Here is a 20,548-nt window from a genome sequence, read left to right as displayed (position 1 = left end):
CCATCTTGGCCTCCCAAAGTGCTGGGATTACAGGTGTGAGCCACTGCGCCTGGGCGATTTTTTTTTGTTTTTTCTTCTGAGATGGAGTCTTCCTCTGTTGCCCAGGCTGCAGTGCAGTGGTGTGATCTCAGCTCACTGCAACCTCCATCTCCTGGGTTCAAGTGATTCTCCTCCCTCAGCCTCCCGAGTAGCTGGGATTCCAGGCATGTGCCACCAGGCCTGGCTAACTTTTGTCTTTTTAGTAGAGATGGGGTTTCATCATGTTGGCCAGGCTCATCTCGAACTCCTGACCTCAGGTGATCCACCTGCCTTGGCCTCCCAAAGTGCTGGGATTACAGGTGTGAGCCACTGTGCCCAGCCTATTTTTCTTTTATGAGATCTTAAAATATGAAAACTTTTTTGTTTTTACATTCTAAAATAGAAATCTTAAAGTTTAAAAAACTGTTTGAGAACCCCAAAGAAAAATATTGCCATACCCACATGGATGTTTGATGTACTGTGTTTCAAGGACGTGTGTATATGTATGTGCAAGTATGTATGTGTAGAAGAACTTTGCTGTCTGAGAAGAATTGACATCCTGTCTTCCCCCTTCTTCCCTATCAATCCTTAAGGAAAAAGAAAAAAAAAATCTGAGAAGATAAAAACAGATGCCTATGTTGAGTAGAAAGGGGTTTTTGAGAGTGATTGATTTTATAAGTGGTCAGTTTGATAGTAAATATTTTCATGTTATGATACTTTTTACCTCCCTGTAAAACCTCTTCACTGTGAAGACTAAAGTAAAGAATTATTGGGTCAAAGGTCAGTTATATAAAATTTTTAAAAGATAATTTCTCCATTACTTTTTAATAGAATCTTATCTGCCTTTAAGATTTCTGTTCATTTGAAGATATTACTTGAGCTTCTGTCCTGTCTTAGCTTATAGGCAACGGCAGATTGCAGAGCTCATATTGTCACAGTTGTTTGTTACCCACTCTCTGTCTTTTTTGTGAACAGGTATCATCTCCAGGCTCTCCGGCACCTCTATGTGCTGGCCGCGGAGCCCAGGCTTCTAGTGCCTGTGGATGTGGACACAAACACGCCCTGCTATGCCCTCTTAGAAGTTACCTACAAGGTATCTCTCCCTATCATTTACTTGTAATTTTATTACCACTCATCCGTCTTTGCAGGTCATAATATTTCAAATGTGTTGTCCAGTAAAAGGTGATAAGTAATGAATTGAACTTTCATAAAAATGGAAGCTTCCAAAGTTATTGTATATCCTGCCAGGCCATTCATGCTCATTTAAATGATCTGGGTATCACTTTTTAGGGATCATCAGCTACTCTTTTGTCCTTAGAGCTTATAATTTGAAAATGTCCCTGTTAACTTTATGTGACTGACAGTAGTGTTTTGTATAACTGATTGAGTTAGACCCATTCTTAGATTTGTTAGCTGAAACTTGAAAACCCAAAATTGTGTATTTGATGACAGCTTTCATTTAGATGCATAGATTACAAGTTTTATATCCTCCTTTCATTCAGCAAATTATTAAGTACCTTCTGTGACTCAAAACCGTGCTAGGCTCTGGGGTACAAAATGAGATGACATTGTCATTTTCCTTAAGGAACTTCTATCCCCTGGGGAGCCAGGCATGGATACAATGGGAATAGAGGGTGATAATTGGAGATGTCTGTGGAATGCAGGGGAAGCAGAGAAGCACCCTCGCTTAGCTGTTAGTTATGGGGTTGAGGCTGTCAACAGTGGACAGTGTTTGGACTAGGCCTGGCCCACTGAGTGGAGCTCCTTCCCAGCGGAGAAGGCAATGTGCAGAAACCCAGCAGCATTGGAGCACGGCCTTTGGTGCTGCTGGCCTGTGAGGAGCAAGGCTTGAAGTGATGGGAAGGACACATACCCTGTGAGGAATTTAGACATCAGTCCTTTAAGATTTGAGTACCAGAGAGGATTTTATACCATTTAAAGGTCTCTGTATGAACTGCGGGGATAGGGGGAGGTATAGCGTGGAGATGTTTCTTCTTTGTTGTTTCCACTGACTACCTAGTGAATTGTGGCTGGACTTTTACATTTGTAAAGGGCACTCAGTGGTATGAACAAACCAAAGAAGAATTGATGGCTCCTACCCTTCTTCCAGAACTCCATCTTTTAAAGCAGGTAAGCTGGGTGTGGTCGGGAGTTGGGTCCAAGGGGTCAATTCAACAGAATGGCATAGCGTTAAAGATAGCTAAATAAAAGCCTCAGCTTTCTTCATGTATTGTAGCAGATAAGAAAGCTGCAGCAGGAGGAAAAGTCAGAAAGAATAGAGCAAGTCTTTTCTTAGAGATCTTTATTGATAGCTTAGGTGGCCTCAGAACATGATTTACATTCATTTTTTGTCTGGAAATGGAGCTTGTTAACTTCCAGATGCCTGTTTCTGGCTGTTATTGTTTCCTCTGAGAAACATAGGTTTCAGTTTGTCAGATGAGCATATTTTTCAGCTTTGGGTTGACTATGTTTACGTTTATCTTGACAGATTAAAGTAAAAGGCCCAAGATACTGGGAACTGCTCATAGATTTAAGCAAAGGAACACAACACTTGAAGTAAGTACATTAAATTTCTCAAATTTACCTTTTAGGAAGTGAATAGAAGTATATAAGAAGGTATAAATTATAGATTATTATCTGGAATGTGACTCATCACCCTTTAATCTCATTCAAGACTATATGTAGGGTATGTCTTCTGTAAAACAGTCTGTATCTTTGAAACAGGACTTGTGTTAGAAAATGAAAGTTTTAATTTCAAACTCCAACCCTAAATATTTATTTATTGAGAAACTTGCACTGACTTCCTTGTGAGAGTAATGGACTTATCTCTTGGTATATTAACATAAGATTTAGTTTAAGAAAGTGTATTAGTCCATTTTCACACTGCTATAAAGAACTACCTGAGACTGGGTAATTTCTAAAGAAAAGGGATTTAATTGACTCACAGTTCTGCCTGGCTGGGGAGGCCTCAGGAAACTTACAGTCATGGCAGAAGGCAAAGGGGAAGCAAGGCATGTCTTGTATGGCAGCAAGAGAGAGACAGAGAGGTGCAACACTTTTAAACCATCAGATCTCGTGAGAACTCACTCACTATCATGAGAACAGCATGAGGGAAATCTGCCCCCATGATCCAGTCACCCCCAACCAGGTCCCTCTCCTGACATGTGGGGATTACAGTTTGACATGAGATTTGGGTGGGGACACAGAGCCTAACCATGTCAGAAAGTAAAGCTGATTTGTACATGCACAAAAGAACTTTATTAATCAGTGTTTATCAGACCACATCTTTTGTTGCATCTCTTTACCATTCTTTTGCTAGAAAGTTCTCCTAAATTTAAGATTATTGTAGATAATATATACTACTCAGCCAGTTTATTTTGGGTGGAAATAATCACGTGCAGTTATTTTAGAGTGTTGATACATTTATACCTAAAGTAGCATGTCAGTTAAGCCTTTAAATTTCAAGGAAGTTTAACAAGCATGTAAAAGTTTTTATAGTTTGGTCCCAATGTGATTTTTTCCAGACTGTATATTAGCTGTTTTCTGTATTGTTCTGTCCTTAGATTTGCAGCATTATTTTCTTCTTGCTGCAAACCAATTAATAGATATTTAGTACCTCATGTACCCTAGGCATAGAGCTAGGGGATATAGGGAATACAAAGAAATGTTAGACAAAATGCTATCTTCGAAGCTCGTAATTGAGCCAATAGTCAAAGTGCCTCCTCATTTAACAAGTTCCATGAATCTAGACACCAAAGAAAAACAGAACTTTATTCTAGGCTTTCTCATAGGGACTGATTTAATCTTAGACACAGTAAATAATCATTTACCTTAGTGGAAAATGGTAAAAGCTTCATCTCCTGTGAACATGGTATTGGGAAAACACTATTTCCAGCCAAGAACTGCCAGTAATACCTTATATTAAATTCATTCCTTTTCTTTCAGGTCCATCCTTTCCAAGGATGGGGTTTTATATGTTAAACTCCGGGCGGGTCAGCTCTCCTACAAAGAAGATCCAATGGGATGGCAAAGTTTGTTGGCTCAGACTGTTGCTAACAGGAACTCTGAAGCCCGGGCTTTCAAGGTAGTATTATTGATTGGTAAAAACGGAAAGAAATAATTCTAAATTGCCGGCTTCCTCGCCCATTGCTATAAACTTCAAAGGTGGATCTGCTTCCTTTTTCATTGTTGCAGATTGTAAAGACTGACTGTGGCTCTGTTTGCTTTTTATGTGATAAAATAAATAATAAAATATAATGAATATAAAATCTGTATATAATAAGTAATATATATATAATAAAGTAAAATACTGTAAGTTAATGTTTACATTTAGCAGCAAGGACAGTCACACCATATCTTGACACTGTAACAAATAGTGATTTTATTATTGATCTTCAAATCGGTGAAGATTTACTTAATTTCATAGCAAAAATAGAAAACGAGTTTTGCAAGCTAGCAATTATTAACTCCATTTAAAAACCACCATTTGTTTCCTTAATCTTGGTGAGGATAAACTGATGACAGATTCAGACTTCTTTTATTAGTTTGCTTTATTATTTGCACAGTACTCGACTGCCAGTGCAGTAGTGTTTGAAATAAGGAAATAGTTACGATAAATGAGGGTAGGAAGCAATCTCATTCCCACGGCGGGGTCAGCACATATTTTGCTCTATATTCTTGACTCAGATAAGTTTCCAACACAAGAAATTTGTCCCATAATCAGGCATTAAGACTTCTGAATTTAACTTCAGTTTCCTGTAATTCCATGAGCAACTGTGTCCCTGCTGGTGATACAAAGTAGAGTAGTCTAAAGTAGTTAGGACCCTAAGGAATAATTAGACGGCAAAAGTGGGGCAGGCGGACTGGATGAGTGGCAGCCAGAGGACTGAGTTAGCATCCTTTGTTCTTCCAAGTACGGAGACAGCAGTTTATTTTAATTCAACTCATATTTCATTTTAGTCAGTTACTTATGACCAAGCCTTTATAATGGTTCCCAGGATTGAAATGTATAAATAGTTCCCAGGGTTGACATTGGTGAATTTTGTTTGGCAGTATTCAGTAAGTTGTTTATGAAATACTTTTGAAAGATTTTTGGACACAGTTTAACTTAAATTTGTAGTATTGCTTCTTCTAAAAATTAGAGCATATTCCAAAGACTCTAACCCAATTTGTGAAGAAAATAGATAAGTTTAGACTTGAGTTTGAACGAAGAAAGTATATAAAAATTAAAAGCTATTTCTATTTCCTGCCTACTGGAGTTCAGAAATAAAATATAAACCTCAGTGGAAAATAGTAATACCTTCATATTTCATTTTCAATCTTGAACCTTGAGTGATACTGTTTTTTTCCCAAGTTTAAAAAGTTGTGGTAAAATGCACACAATTTATTGTCTTAACCATTGCAAGTTACAGCTCAGTAATACTAAGTGCATTCACATTGTTGCACAACCATCACCACCATCCATCTCTAGAACTGTTTCATCTTGCAGACCTGAGATCTATACCTGCAACAATAACGCACAACCATCACCACCATCCATCTCTAGAACTGTTTCATCTTGCAGACCTGAGATCTATACCTGCAACAATAACCCCTCATTCTACTTCCCCTAGTCCCTGGCAACCACCGTTCTATTTTATGTCTCTGTGATTTTGATTATACTAAGTACCTCATTTATGTGGTTTCATACACTGTTTATCTTTTTGTGGCTGGCTTGAGTGATATTCTTTTTTCCTTACCTTTTCAGTAACAATTCTAGTTTCTGGTAGGCTTTTTAATTAGTCAGTGAAGGAGGGAAAAGCCTTTTTTGGATGAGTTGTGTAAACAGGAAGACCTGTTTGTTATTGGCCTTTTGATAAATTAGTAGCTCATGTTAACTTGTGCAAAAGCTTCTTGTAACTTCTTAGCAGAACAGGTTGATGAGGCAAGTTTGCATCATCTGGGATTTTTTGGGAATGTTGGGTGACAAAGGGGAGGTAGAGTTGTTAGAACTGTGTGTATTACAGTTTAAGCGTAAGGAAAATAATCTTTTGTTGTCTTATACTGTTGTGGTTGTTTGTTTTTTTAGCCAGAAACAATCTCAGCATTCACTTCTGATCCAGCACTTCTGTCATTTGCTGAATATTTCTGCAAGCCAACTGTGAACATGGGTCAGGTATATATTCTATGGTTTGCCGAGCCCCAGGACTAGAATTTGTTATTATTTCTATGCATGGGTCACCCAAAACATCTCTACTATCTATATCTATCTTTGAGATTGATGACATGCGTCAGTCACATTGGATGACTTTTGCTTGGCACGTATAGATTTGCATAGCCTAAAACTATTAAATTCAGCAACTTTCTACCTTGATAGAAGAAACAACTTAAAATTTATAAGACATCAGTTTTGACAGATGATAGTTTCTGTCATCTACAAGAATGATACCCATCCATATTCTGCTTTATGTTTTCAGTGTTTACCACCTTTCTCTTATTTTTATGTAATTTCATTAACTGTTTCCTCTGTATATTATAACCCTGCTTTTTATTGTTCATACACCTGTTACCTTCAAGATTCCAAGGGTGCTTAGCAGATTTTTCTTTATTTTTTTGTTTTTTGTTTTTTGAGACAGGGTCGGTTTTTTCTGTTGCCCAGGCTGGAGTGCAGTGACGTGATCATGGCTCACTGCATCCTTGACCTCCCGGAGTGAAGCCATCCTTCCACCTCAGCCTCCTGAGTAGCTGGGACTACAGGCATGTAGCCACCATGCCTGGCTACTTTTTTAAAAAAATTTTTTGTAGCGATGGAGTCTCACTATATTGCCCAGGCTGGTCTTGAACTTCTGGGCTCAAATGATCCTCCCACCTTGGACTCCCAAAGTGCTGGGATTATAGGCACGAGCCACTGTGCCTGGCCCAGATCTTTGACTTAATCCACCATAGAGACAAGGAAAGATTGGATGCATATATGGCCTTCAGAAAATTTCTCAACCTCTCCAAAATGTAGTTTCCTCATTTCTAAAAGTGATTATAATAGAACCTACCTTACAGTATTGTTTTGAGGATTAAGTGAAATAACCTTCCCCTCTCTTTTTTATTGAATCTTTACTATACATGGGACACTCTGCTAATACTTAAATGTCATTTAATTATGACCCTGAGAATAGGTATTTTATCATTCTGGGCTTACAGATGAGGAAACTGCCACTGAGAGATGTCACATGCCCAAGATCTCACAGCTAGTAAGAGCTGGGCTGTGCACTCCAGGTCACGGGTCTCTAATAAAGCCCATGCCCACCCTTAACCCCAGCTGGACTTGACTCTGCCGCCTCCCCTAAACTTGTTCTGGACAGTGTTTTTTTTCTTGCAGCTTTGTTACTCTGTTTCCTTTCTGGATCCTACTCTTCCCAGCCCAACCCAAGGCATAGCTCTGTGATGTCCTATCTACTCATTTTGTCCTAGTTTGGTCCATTCCTCTCTTCTGTAGCACTTACTATCCTTAACTGTCTCTTGGGACTTAATTTTTTTTTTTTAATTAATGTTTAATGTTACATGTGCTGTGGCTTTTTTAAAAGATTGTAGTGTTACTTTTATGTCATTCATTATAAAACTTAAGAATGGGCCATAGTAGTGCTATACAATTCGTTTTTGAATTGATTTTGGAATATACTTTGTGCTACAAAACTTCTGATTTTCTGCAGAAACAGGAAATTCTGGATCTCTTTTCTTCAGTACTCTATGAATGTGTTACCCAGGAGACCCCAGAGATGTTGCCTGCATACATCGCAATGGATCAGGTATGGATCCAAAAACCTATACCAATTCTGGTGAAATTTGTCCTGTAGTTCAAGTAACTCACTGAATAGTGTGGTAAGGTTCCTAGTGTCCTTCCTTTTAGTTTCCCATTTGCTTTTGGAAATTTAAGAAAGGAAACCATATAAAATTTGAAAGCTCTCAAAAATCCAAAAAGCTTGGGCTTTATGTTGACAGGAGTGCCCCTTGGGGGGCTGTCTTCCTTTAAGGGTTCCCATTCCTCCCTTTTGTCTCCCCTGACTAGGAGAGGAGGGGAGCACTCCCTTCCTCTCTCCCATCTTATTTTTGCCTCCCTCCTGGCAATGCCTCTTTGTAGAAGTCTGCATGTGAGCCGTTAGTGAACAGAGCCCTAGCGATGGCAGTACTGTGAAATTAGACCTATGTGATAAAGCTTGCAAGAGGTTACAGAGTCCATATGCAGTTATCTAGGCATTGGAGTTCATTTTTAAATTTCTCTTGTTATTGCTATTTTAAAAGAGCCTAAAGGGGTAATGCAGAAAATAATGCTTAATAATGTTCTTAAAGGATCAGACCAATTTATTCACTTTAGGCAAATTAGTAATACATACACCTTTTCAGTATTATCATATCTTTCAGACCCAGATTTGGAGTTAAGCCAAGCCAGTAGTTTTCTAACCTGGCAGAAATTTGCCTTGGTATCTTAAAAATACAGATCCTTTAATTCCATGCCTCATCTATTGAATCAGAATTTCTGGGGTGAGATCCAGAATCTAGTTTTAAACAGCTCTTTAAGTGAATATAGTAAGTTCACAGCTGAGCATCTGAGACTCAGTGTCTAAGAGAAATAACCTTTAATGATAAAAATAATTTGCTAAAAAGCTGAATGGAAAAATATATTTAGTCAGAGGATAATTCCCCCAAACCAGAAAACACACAGTGTTAAGTAACATCATTAAAAACCAAGTTCCAATATAACTAAGTAGGCCCAGAATGCCATTATTGTCTGGAATCCACCCTTTTTTGGTTGGAAAGTATGGATATATGGTATCCACGCTGGCACTGCTTCTCACAGTGCCTCTTTGTATAGCAGCCAAATAACAAGTTGTGTTATTTGCTGGATGAGAATGTTGCTGGCTGAGAATGTGTCTTTTTACTCTCTGAACCCTCACACCTTTACAGTCATGGGTGGCAGGTCTTTATGCATGAATATCTTCTCTGGTTGCAGCTGTAGTGACTTGCAGATGGATCTCAAGGGCAGTATTATTAGTAGTGTTCTTCTTGCCCTCTACCCCCTGGGATCTCTGCCATGTCATTGTACCCAGCTCGAGTTTCCCAGAGGTGACTGGCTATGACCTTTTGGGTCTTGGTTATTCGGAGCTGTTGAGCCAAGAATGAGCTCATTCACCTTTGTTACTTTTCCCTGCAAGCTGCTCATGTAGGGCCATATTGAAGGAGGTGAGCCATGCACCTGTACCCAGTGACGGCTCCTCTGTGGGCAGACTGCATCAAAACACAGAATGGACCACCCCCCGACCCTTTATAATTCGGAGCCACATTTAAAAAATACTCAGTCTACAACTCTGATGAAGAGACAGAGCACTCTTTGATTAAATAGATTGTTGTCCTCTTTCCTCTTCAAGGCTATAAGAAGACTTGGGAGAAGAGAAATGTCTGAGACTTCTGAACTTTGGCAGATAAAGTTGGTGTTAGAGTTTTTCAGCTCCCGAAGCCATCAGGAGCGGCTGCAGAACCACCCTAAGCGGGGGCTCTTTATGAACTCGGAATTCCTCCCTGTTGTGAAGTGCACCATTGATAATACCCTGGACCAGTGGCTACAAGGTAATAGTAGCATTGTAGCATAGCGCTCTTGTGCTTTTGAGATACATTCGGTTCAGGCTTTTCTGTTGTAACTTTGTTTTTTCATTGGTAAGCAAGATAAATCTGAGTATAAGCAAGAATGGCTATAGATTTAACGTTTCCAGCTAGATGAATTAGACTTTGATTATCTACTTTAGCTTCTTTAGTAAAATACATCTGACCCAGGCAGATAATATTTATAGCATTTTAAATACCACTTGGTGCTCAGGACCTTGTTCTCTCTTCCCTAGCATCAGGTCACATTTCCTTTCCAGTGCCTCTGTCTCCTGTTTCCTAGGGGTGTGGCCTGTTGCCTTCCTGAGGCCAGCAGCCATCCTGTTTTTGTACTGGCACCACATGTACATGTAGAAGTTGACGTGTGCTTGCTGAGTGAGCTTGTTGTACCAACTCAGTTTTGAAAACCTGGGACCGCACAGCTATGTGATGTCACAGTGGTGGCTTTCTATCAGCAGGATTTGTGATTGCAAGGAAATTGTAGTTACTCGTTAACAGTGTAGAAGTGATTCTGACTTACATGAGGCAAGCGATGGGGCCTTTAGATTTATGGAAATGTATCTGTGTGTTAAATACACCTGAAACTGATTTTCAGGAGTAGACTCCTTGATCTTTTCATTCTTTTTAGTTCATTCAAATGCTCCCAGTAAATATCTGACAGTTGCTTGCTTTGGGTTAATACTAACCTTAGTAATAGTAGTAGAAACAATTCTTGCTTTGATTAGTGAAAACTATTAGTAATCAATAGACCCTAAGCGTTTGAATATAATTGAGTTTAAAACTATCCACCTGTAACACTAGGAAATAAATTTCTGAAAAAAATTAAATTGTAAACCAAGTTGTGAGGGATATACTTGGAAAGCCTGATTTCAGACTCTCCATGTTTATATTTAAAAGCTGCATTGTATTTGTCATTTCCTGTTCAGATTCAAAGATCATATAGCTTCATAATTTTTTGGATAGTCATTTTTATCCTCATTTTTGGGGAAAAACATGTTATTTCAAAGGTTTTCGTGTTTCGTTTTTATTCAATTTAACATTTGATCACCTATGGCAGACCTTTGCTATTGATAATAAATACTTCCTTAAATCTTTGCAGATTCCCTGATTTGCACATTTCATATAATGTATGGAACTTTGGCAGTGATTAGAACATTCTCTAAAACAGGGCCCTGATTGCCTTGTTGCTCTTTAGCGCATTTGGTGGTTTCCAGCATTGCTGTCAGCCTCCATTGAATTTGACTTGCCACACAGATTTATCAAAAATGTGTTTATTTTTTAGTGAAAAACTAGAATTTTTTTTAAAACAAAACCTCTTAAATATATAGTCTCCTCTCTTACAAGCACTAGCAGTTGGCTTTGGGGTAGAGAACAATAAATTAACTGAAAATTGGAAATTGCATTCATATTTGTGTGTAAAAATCACAGATGCATATGTGGACTTTCAGGATCACTCACTGACAACTCATTAGATCTGAGATAACCCATTAAATCACTACACTAATCTGAAAATGCAGCCAATTTATATTATATAAATGTCGGTTTTGTTTTTTCTTTCTTTGAGACAGAGTCTCGCTCTGTCGCCAGGGTGGAGTGCAGTGGCGCGATCTCAGCTCACTGCAACCTCCACCTCCTGGGTTCAAGCGAGTGTCCTGCCTCAGCCTCCTGAGTAGCTGGGATTACAGGTGCACGCCACCACACCCAGCTAATTTTTGTACTTTTAGTAGAGACGGGGTTTCACCATGTTGTTCAGTCTGATCTCGAACTCCTGACCTCATGATCTACGTGCCTTGGCCTCCCAAAGTGCTGGGATTACAGGCATGAGCCATGGCGCCTGGCCTATATAAATGTTTTGTACAGTATTTATCTCCTCAAATTATAATTTTGGGCAAAGAAAGCGGGTTTCAAGTTTAAGAACTTTAAAAAGTTTTATTAACTTTTTCATATTTTGTTATGGAAATTTAAAGAATATACAAAGTAAGTAGACTAGTGTAATAAACCACAACACCAATTTTAATAGTTGCCAGCATTCTCCTATTTTTGCGTCATTTGTACCTTCACCCATTGCCACACTCAATTTTCCAAATTGTGCCATTTTACTTTCCCACCAGCAGTGGATTGCAATGCAATTTTTGGCATTGTCCTTTTTTTTTTTTTTTTTTTTTAAGACTTGTCAAGTGCAGTAGGAAAGCAAAGTAAACCCAAAGCAAGCAAATAAAAGCAGAAACCAATGAAACCAAAAACAGATAAGCAATAGAGAAAATCAGTGAAACAAAATGCTGGTAGACATGAGAAAGTCATTGAAGAGAGGCTGAACCACCATGCTCTCCTTCATGATGAGCTGTTCAAAGAAGAATCTCATCTGTTCTCCCTTAACCTTTCTCCCTCTGCTGCCTCCCCCAAACCTAAATGTTTCCACCTCCCAGTAGACTGACATCCTCACAACTGTGTTCAGTGGAGTCTACAGTTTTCATCTCACTCCATCTCTACAATGGTGAGGCTTTTAGCTACATTTTCCTTCTTGAAATGAGCCTCCCTTGACTTTGTCATAGCACACTTTCCCAATTTTTAAAAAAAATCCTCTTTAAAAATTCTCAGTATTTGTCACCATTTCACTGTCACTCCTTTGTTGACCCTTTTGGAAGTCATCCTTGCTCCTTTCCCTCCTTCCCTTCTCTGCAATAGCTGACCCATTGCTGATGCCTTTCAATCCTCATCATAGATATTTCTTGAATTTGTCCACATTTTACTATTTCTACCTAGAACAGAATGATGATTTTGTGCCTGGACCACTGTTATAGCCTCCTAAATAGCCTCCTTGCTTTTTCTCATCTCCATTCCAACCATCTCAATTTAACTGACAGAACAGTCTTTTAAAGAATAAACTGATGTAACACTCCTGCTTAAAGCTTTTCAATGGCTCCTGATTCAGCTGTGAAAGAAATCCCTACTGTGTGGCACCAGGACCTGTGTGACCTGCAAGGCGCCTGTTTTCCTCAACAAAGCCTCTTTTACACCACTTGCTCCCCACACCACCCTGGCCCCTTCCACTTACTCAAAAACACTGAGCTCCTTTTCACTGTGGGGCCATTGAATATGCTGTTTTCCCTCCCTAGAACCTTTTCCTCTCATTCTTCACCTGCCCAACTCATATTTATCCATGCAGCCTCAGTTTTAATGGCATTTCCTCCCAGGCCTTCCAAGACCACTCTCCCTCAGGCAGCTTTCCTGACATCTTTAGCCTGCCCGCTCATGCTCTCTACCTTTTTTCTGTATCAAAATGCCTTTGTTTGCAAGTAAAAGAAGGCCTGACTTAACCTGCCTTTAAACAGTAAGGACACAAGTATGCCTATGTTATTAGAGGTCTGCAGGTAAGGCACGTAAAGGGTCATCTTTTTCCAGTGTCTTCAACTCCATTTCTCTGAGGTTCCATCAGCTACATTCTGTGCCATGACTTTATCCTCAGTGCATTTTTCGGATGGTAATCAAATGGCTGTAACATGTTCACCTCTAGCTCAGCATGATACTCAGAGGAAGAATAGAGTTGCTTCTAGGAGTTTTGTGATGAGAATGAGGGAATTTCTTTCCCTGGAGCCTCCAGCAAGCTTGTCATTAAGTACCTCCTCAGGTTTCTGGCTCGAGTTGCATCTCATGCACACCTCTCAATCTATCCCTGTGGCAGAGAATGTCTCTTATTGAAAAAATGGCCTGGGTCTGCCTGTCTCTGAACTAACACTGCATCAGGAGAATGGGATTGCCTTGATCACCCAAGATCAGTGATTCTCAAAGTGTGGTTTATGGAGCAGCATGACCTGGGCACTTGTTAGAAATGGAGTTTTTCTGGCCCCACCCCAGACCTACTGAATAAGAATCTCTGTGCTCTGTGCATGGAGTGGGGCCCACTCATCTGTGGTTTAACAAGCCTTCCAGGTGATTCTGGCACATGTTAAAGTTTGAGGACCCCTGGCCAAGACTAGTAAGGATCTAGTTCTGGAGCTGAAGTCAGTCCCATCAAATATAATATATGGTGGAGGGTAGGGTGTGACAAGGGGTATTTCGGGGAGACAACCACAGTGACCACTGCACCTTTATAGCACTCCTCACAATTTGTAATTATGCATTTGTTTGTGTCATTATTTGTGTAATATCTGTCTCCCCCAACAACACTCTAAACTCTACAATGACAGGGACTCAGTCTAGCTTGTCAGAGTAGCCTCAATACCGGCTATAGAACCTGCTTTATATATGCTGAGCGTTCAATAAGTTCTTGATGAAAAAGTAATAGAAGATATTTCTTGTGCCTCTCAGTTCTGTCATCAGTTGGTTCCGTTCCATTTGTTTCTCTCACAGTCGGGGGTGATATGTGTGTGCACGCCTACCTCAGCGGGCAGCCCTTGGAGGAATCACAGCTGAGCATGCTGGCCTGCTTCCTCGTCTACCACTCTGTGCCAGCTCCACAGCACCTGCCACCTATAGGACTAGAAGGTAATTGCATATCTAAGTCTTATCTTCAGTAACTCTGTTACCTACCCCTTTATGTTCTAGTTTCTCAGTAGTTACTGCCCCTAGTTTGACTTTCCTCTTCATTAATGTTGCAGTGTCATTGTTAGGGACTGTTTTGGAGCAAAAAAGAAAAAATTATCAACTTTATATATGAATAACTTTCATTTTTATTCAGAAAAGGATGGATTCTTCTTCACAGAGCCCCAAACACTGATCTATACTAATAAACTAAATATTCCATATTATTCTTTACTAATTGATTTTTTTATTAAAGCTATTTTTCTTTATTTTCTAGGTTTTCAGTTGGGTTTTTTAGAATCACATATAATCTTAATTTCTAATATTACAAAGCTTTACAACTAATAAATACCTAATTTTGTGTTTGAATTTTTTTATAATAGTTTTAAAAATTAATAGTATTATCACCTGATTGTATTTTTCAGAATATAGAAACAGATAAAAAAAATTTATCCATTAAGCTGAATACTAAGATATGATGAATTCTAAGCACCCAATTTTTTTGAGATTCTCAAAAAAAATATTTTTTGATAAGGGCAAAGATTGTTCCATTTAATCATTTAAACTTGAAGTTTAATTACATTACTAGTTTTTTGCTGTTTTGCAAGCCTCTGATAAAAGTTTACTATCTAGAGACTTCTGGTTATGGCCATGATGGAATTGCTTGTATTGGACTCACTTGCCCTCAAAAACAAATATAAAAGCTAAAAAAAAAAAATAAGAAAAGGGAAGTACAACAGGGAGAGCTTTATATTCACCCTAGCTTCTCCCCCAAAGGCATTTGCCAGTTCATAGTACAAGAAGTAGAGTGCCAGCAAAAAGCAGCAATGCTGCAGGGCTGAGGAGCCAGAGGTTGGGTTTGTGATTGCCCAAGAGCCTAGAACTTGAGGAACACAGTCTCAGGCAGGAGAGAACAATAGAAATCATAACTCAGACTCTGGATATACCTTTCCCTTGAGTTACTTAATGATATTTTAGCCTTCATATACATGGGATAAGACTTCAAGAGATCTAGCAGAAGCCACAAGGCCAAAAATGTAAGCAAAAATGTCAGCAGCAGCATAGGACTGAGGAGACAAAGGGTGGAATTCAACGCTTGTTAAAGTGAAGTGGCTCTGATCAGCATCCCAGCTCCTCAGGTGAATTAATACATGGCCAAGCCCTAAGCCTGCTCTAGCCTAATTTTAGATCTGGTCTGCTTCAGTTTCACTCCAAGCAGACTTGACCTACAATTAGCCTAGAGCAGAACTAAGGTGATCTGTGTGCTTTCTCCCCACCTGACAGAAGAAAATGTAACCTTCATAGGAGAAAGAAAACATACCCAGAGCCCCCGCAATTTTTAGTCTACAGGATTCAGTGTTGAATCAAAAATTACGAAACATAATAATAATAAAAAAACAGATAATAGAAACAGACTTATGTGTGATTCAGATATTGGAGTTATCATACTGGAACTTAAAATAACTATGTCTAATGTTTCCAGGAAAATAGAAGGAATGATAGGGAATTTCACCAGAAACCTGGGGTCAATAAAAAAGAGTTAAATGGAAATTCTAGAACTGAAAAATATAGTAACTGAAATGAAGATCTCAGTACTGGATTATTTGAAGTGAACTGGAAGACACTTATCTGCTGGAAGACAAGTAGAAAGTAAACAAACTGAAGCACAGAGGGAAGAATGGTTAGGAAATACAGAGAAGAGTACAAGAGACATGTGGAAACCGTGAAAAAAAAATAAACATGCATGGGGTTGGAATAAGAGAATAAGAGGAGAGAAAAAATGAGTTAGAAGCAATATTTGAAGAGACAGAAGCTAAGAATTTTGAAAAATTGTGTTAAATATTAACCCACAGTGAACCCTAAGCAGGATAAATACAAAGAAAACCATACCTAGTCACATTAATAGTCAAACTACTAAAAGGAAAAGGAAGACATTTTAAAAGTATAGACTTCTTTTCAGGCCAGGCTGGACAAACAGGGTTGTTCAATGGTCAACTGTATTAGAACCAGTAAAATACCACTTAGATAGTATTTGAAGGTAGACAGGCACTTTTGCACATTATATTTAAAGAATTTATATATATATATATATATATATATATAAAATTAAACAATATTAGTAGTTTCACATGTAGTTATAGGTCACTTTCTGAAGTCTAGAATGGGTAAATTCTATCAAATCATATACAGGTTTGAGTATCCTTAATCTGAAATCTGAAGTGTTTGAAATCGAAAACGTTTTGAGCACCAACATGATGCTCAGAGGAAATGTTCATTACAGCATTTTGGATTTGGGATTTTTGGATTAAGAATGCTCAGCCGAGGCTGGGCGCAGTGGCTCACGCCTGTAATCCCAGCACTTTGGGAGGCCGAGGCGGGCGGATCACGAGGTCAGGAGATCGAGACCATCCTGGCTAACACGTTGAAACCCCATCTCTACTAAAAATACAAAAAAAATTAGCTGGGCGTGGTGGTGGGCACCTGTAGTCCCAGCTACTCGGGGGGCTGAGGCAGGAGAATGGGTGAACCCAGGAGGTGGAGTTTGCAGTGAGCCGAGAGAGCGCCACTGCACTCCAGCCCCGGTGGCAAAGTGAGACTTCGTCTCCAAAAAAAAAAAAAAAAAAAGAAAGCCAGTAGGTGTAATGCAGATATTCCAAAATCTAAAAAAATCCAGAATCCAAAACACCTCTCTTCAGAAGCATTTTGGAAAAGGGATACTCAATTTACATTACAGTGTATTAAGGAATTTCATAATTTTAAATATTGTCTTTGCATAGTCATTTTCAAAGGGAAAAATGCCTGTTTTAAACATGATTGTGTTTCTGAAGCTTCCTTGAAAGGAGAGGTATGGCTGAATTTATTTAGAGATGTGACCTTCCCACCCCATTTCCATTTTAGGGAGCACAAGCTTTGCTGAACTGCTCTTCAAATTTAAGCAGCTAAAAATGCCAGTGCGAGCTTTGCTGAGATTGGCTCCTTTGCTTCTTGGAAATCCACAGCCAATGGTGATGTGACCGTGTCTGGCGGTGAACCTACCCTGAAACGTGACTTCTGCACAACAAACGTGACCAAACATCAAAGCTAAAGCAATGTTTATAAAGTTTTATGGTATAACTAGGGGGAAATGAGCTGCACAAACCTCAATGTATTTTAAATCTGTTGCTGTCATCATTAACGGTATATGACATATAAAAGCAAGTTAAAATTTACTTTTGTAAATAAAGTTTTTGGTTTGTTTCCAAAACTCTTGATGATTGCTTTAGTTTTGGACTTAGAGAATAGAGCAGGGGTTGCTGGAGTGAATATTGATTTTTAAAGTCTTTGAACTGTGGTGGTATAGGTGAAGTGACTATGCCCAAAAATGCCAAGTTTTAAAAGAAGCTATGTCATAAAGTTTTACTTTCTGTGGCAAAAGAGCGCTTTAGCATTTCCTCAGATGTCACAGTTGTCCTGTCTAAAATAAGTTTGTACTTCTGGTGACAATGCCAGACACTCTTATGATGTGATCACCTTAAACAGGAGAAGGAGATTTTTGCCCTCAGTTGCTCAACATGAAGTACTGTGGACTGAATTGTGTCCTCCCAGAATTATATATTGAGGCCCTAATCCCTGTGTGACTGTATTAGGCAATAGGGCATATAGGAGATTACTAAGGTTAAGTGAGGTCATCATAAGGGTGGGGCCTTAATTCAGTAGAATTGGTGGCCTCCTAAGCAGAGGAAGAGAGATTTTTCTTTCTCTCTCTGCCATGTGAAGACAGTGAGGAGTCGGCCGTCTGCAAGCCAAGAAGAGCCCTTATCAGGAACAGACTTGGCTAGCACCTTCATCGTGGACCTCCAGCCTCCAGAATTGCAAGAAAATACATTTCCGTCGTTGAAACCACCCAGTCTGTGGTATTTTGTTATGGCAGCCCAGGCAGACTAATACGTGAAGCCTGCTCTAAATAGATAAAATAAGAAATTACTACAGAGGGCTCTTTAGAAATTGTATTTAAAAACAAGACAATCCATATTTACCTAAGATTTACAGAATGTATGTCTATAAAAGGAGGGATTTCTGGACTAGATGATGATGAAAAATGTTCATATAAAGGCACCTCCAGCTTCGAGTTGCCAACACAGGAGGAAGAATGCTCCCTGCTGTTCAGATGCTGATATGTGTCCTGTGCTTCCTGGATGGCCAGTGGGATCATAAGCTGGTAGAAGCAAGACCTTCATCCACTGACTTCATATTTCTTCCACATCCTGAACTGTGGTGTTTGACTTTAAAAATAAATTAAAGCAAATAGAAATGTTTCCATTGAGATTTTGGCAAAAACCCACATGACATTTGCGTCTGCAGAGTAGACTTGGAAGGCATGCACCTGGAGGCCAAGTGGTATTCTCTGGACTCTCTGTCCTTGCATTTGCGTGGCTGCCCCGAGGACTCGCTTCTTCCTGGATGTGAAGCAGAGGCACGATGGGGCTGACTGAGAGGCTGAAATGTGCTTCTCTTCACAGTTACATAGTTTTCTTCTAATTAAAAATAAATTTTAAGTGGTAGATTATGAAAATTCCATTTGAATCAAGATTTTAAAAATTCAATATCAAACCAGTTGTTACTGTCTTCACTCTCCGTTGTTTACGATTGTGTGCTTTTCCTGAATAAAGAATGACTGGAGAGACATTAGTTGTTTGCACACATATTAACTCATACCTAAGGGAGAACAGCTTTTAGAACATTGTCGATGAAAGCAAATATCAGCTTTAAAAGAGAGAGGACAGAAAGACTGCAGATAGTCTGGAAGCAGCATTTTTAGGCCGTCTGATTAGCTAGCAGGGAGCAAAGGGGAGGCTGGGAAGTCAGCCCTTGAGTAGGCCTGCTGGATCATCAAATAAATCAATTGCAGCTATTTTTGGGGCCTCAAAAAATCCTGAGGGTATGGCTCTCACCATCCAGAACCTGCAGCCTCCTTAGAGCCGTGGCTCAAAGGGAAGTGCTGCAGAAAAACATTTGGCTGTTAAGTGTTTTGGCCCCAAAATAGCACACATCATTTCCTGTTAAAGCCTGTTGGCCCGAAGTAGTCACACTGCTCTACCTCATGTGCCCAGGACTGGGAGGAGAGGCAGACGCTGGTGAGGATCTTATGCCAGTTACATCATGGTTCCTAACTTACTAATTCCCTATGCCCATCTTTTCTACTTAGATAGATAGAAATAGGTATCATCGCTTCCATAGACATAATTAAAGAAACCATACAATTTACACATACACTCAGAGTGGTGGTTCTTTCCCCAGTAGACGCTGACATCTGCGTTCCTCCCTTGCAGGTCTTCTGAAGGACCTAGCAGGAGACTCAGGTTGAAACCCTACAGAACCTCGCCGTGTGCCGCCCAGTCTTCCTTGAATAAGGCCATTTTCTCACCCTTTGTCTAGTAACTAGCTGACTCCACAGCTCATGGTAAGGGGCATGTCTCAGCTCAGGGGGTCTCCTGACATCCCAGAGGAAGCAATAAGGTGGGGGTCTTTCATCTCTCAGCCTGATGATCTGTGCACACCCACTTGATGGGAGGCCAGGGTGCCTGTGGGCAGATGGGTCAGAGTGTGGGCCAGGATTTGGAGTAGAAGCCAGAGCATGTGAAAATCCAAACCAGGAAGACTTCGTTGCCTCCCGCATGTGGGGTTGAAGGCCTCTCTTCTGTGGTCTCCCATCCTCATGCTGATCAAATTGGGGGGGAATGTCTCACTGTGTGAGGATCACCCCAATTAAGCTGTGGGGGAGGACACAGAATCTGATCCCCTCTGTATCCTTAGCGCATGCTACCTCCAGCCACCAGGGGAAAGAAGCAGAGGTGAGGTGGGAGAGGTGGCCACTCTGGACGGTGTAACTGGGCTGGCTGCCTCTCAGCGCCCACGAGCACCCCACAGATATCCACGCTAGTGTACAAAGGTTCCCAAGTGGTGGCCTTTTCCTGCTTCCAAGGGCTGCCCGGGTTCCCCCCTCTCTGAAATAGATTGGTTGCTTCTCATTACGTCACAAGCTGCAGAAAAAAAATTTAAATAAAAAGCCTCTACAGCTGTGTCCTTAACTCTTACCTGTGGATAAGGATGGACTTGCCTGCCCAACATCCTCTATCTTATGTCTTTGGGTGAAAGGGAAGCTGGAATGGGCAGTAGGGGCTGCTTGGGGCAGTCAGGACCTTCAGGCTTCAGGCAAGGAGACCCACTGATCAGACACCTGCATCAAATGTTGGTGCTGACAGATCCCTTAGATGGCACCGGTCCTGCCCCTCCTACAGTGAGATCCCTGTGGCTCAGGGAGGGAGGTTGACTGCCCCAAAGCACCCATCACAACCCTAATGAAGCTGACTTTCAACCACACTTCCTATACTCCACCCTGAAC

General features: G+C 40.1%; 1 protein-coding gene and 1 non-coding gene across 7 annotated transcripts in view; both read left to right on the top strand.

Moving 5' to 3' along the window:
• Positions 1 to 20,240, top strand: part of ANAPC1 (anaphase promoting complex subunit 1) — a 117,963-nt gene extending 97,723 nt beyond the window's left edge. For 4 of the 6 annotated variants that reach the window (NM_022662.4, XM_011511633.3, XM_017004713.2 and 1 more), the window contains 9 exons: positions 994 to 1,111; positions 2,071 to 2,148; positions 2,507 to 2,574; positions 3,964 to 4,102; positions 6,086 to 6,172; positions 7,701 to 7,796; positions 9,414 to 9,612; positions 13,996 to 14,130; positions 17,065 to 18,831. In NM_022662.4, the coding sequence (NP_073153.1) occupies positions 994 to 1,111; positions 2,071 to 2,148; positions 2,507 to 2,574; positions 3,964 to 4,102; positions 6,086 to 6,172; positions 7,701 to 7,796; positions 9,414 to 9,612; positions 13,996 to 14,130; positions 17,065 to 17,180 (1,036 nt within the window). In that variant the 3' untranslated portion in view covers positions 17,181 to 18,831. Of the gene's footprint in view, positions 1 to 993; positions 1,112 to 2,070; positions 2,149 to 2,506; positions 2,575 to 3,963; positions 4,103 to 6,085; positions 6,173 to 7,700; positions 7,797 to 9,413; positions 9,613 to 13,995; positions 14,131 to 17,064; positions 18,832 to 19,475 lie in introns of those variants that run through there. The other 2 variants (XM_017004711.2, XM_017004710.3) reach the window with 1 other exon arrangement.
• MIR4771-2 (microRNA 4771-2) lies at positions 15,337 to 15,410 on the top strand. Its single transcript, NR_039929.1, has one exon. It is a non-coding gene; the product is annotated as a microRNA 4771-2 (primary transcript).
• Positions 20,241 to 20,548: the final 308 nt, after the last annotated feature.

This window comes from Homo sapiens, chromosome 2 (genome assembly GCF_000001405.40).
Source record: "Homo sapiens chromosome 2, GRCh38.p14 Primary Assembly".
Lineage (NCBI taxonomy): Eukaryota > Metazoa > Chordata > Mammalia > Primates > Hominidae > Homo > Homo sapiens.
This window is presented reverse-complemented; position numbering and strand designations above follow the sequence as displayed.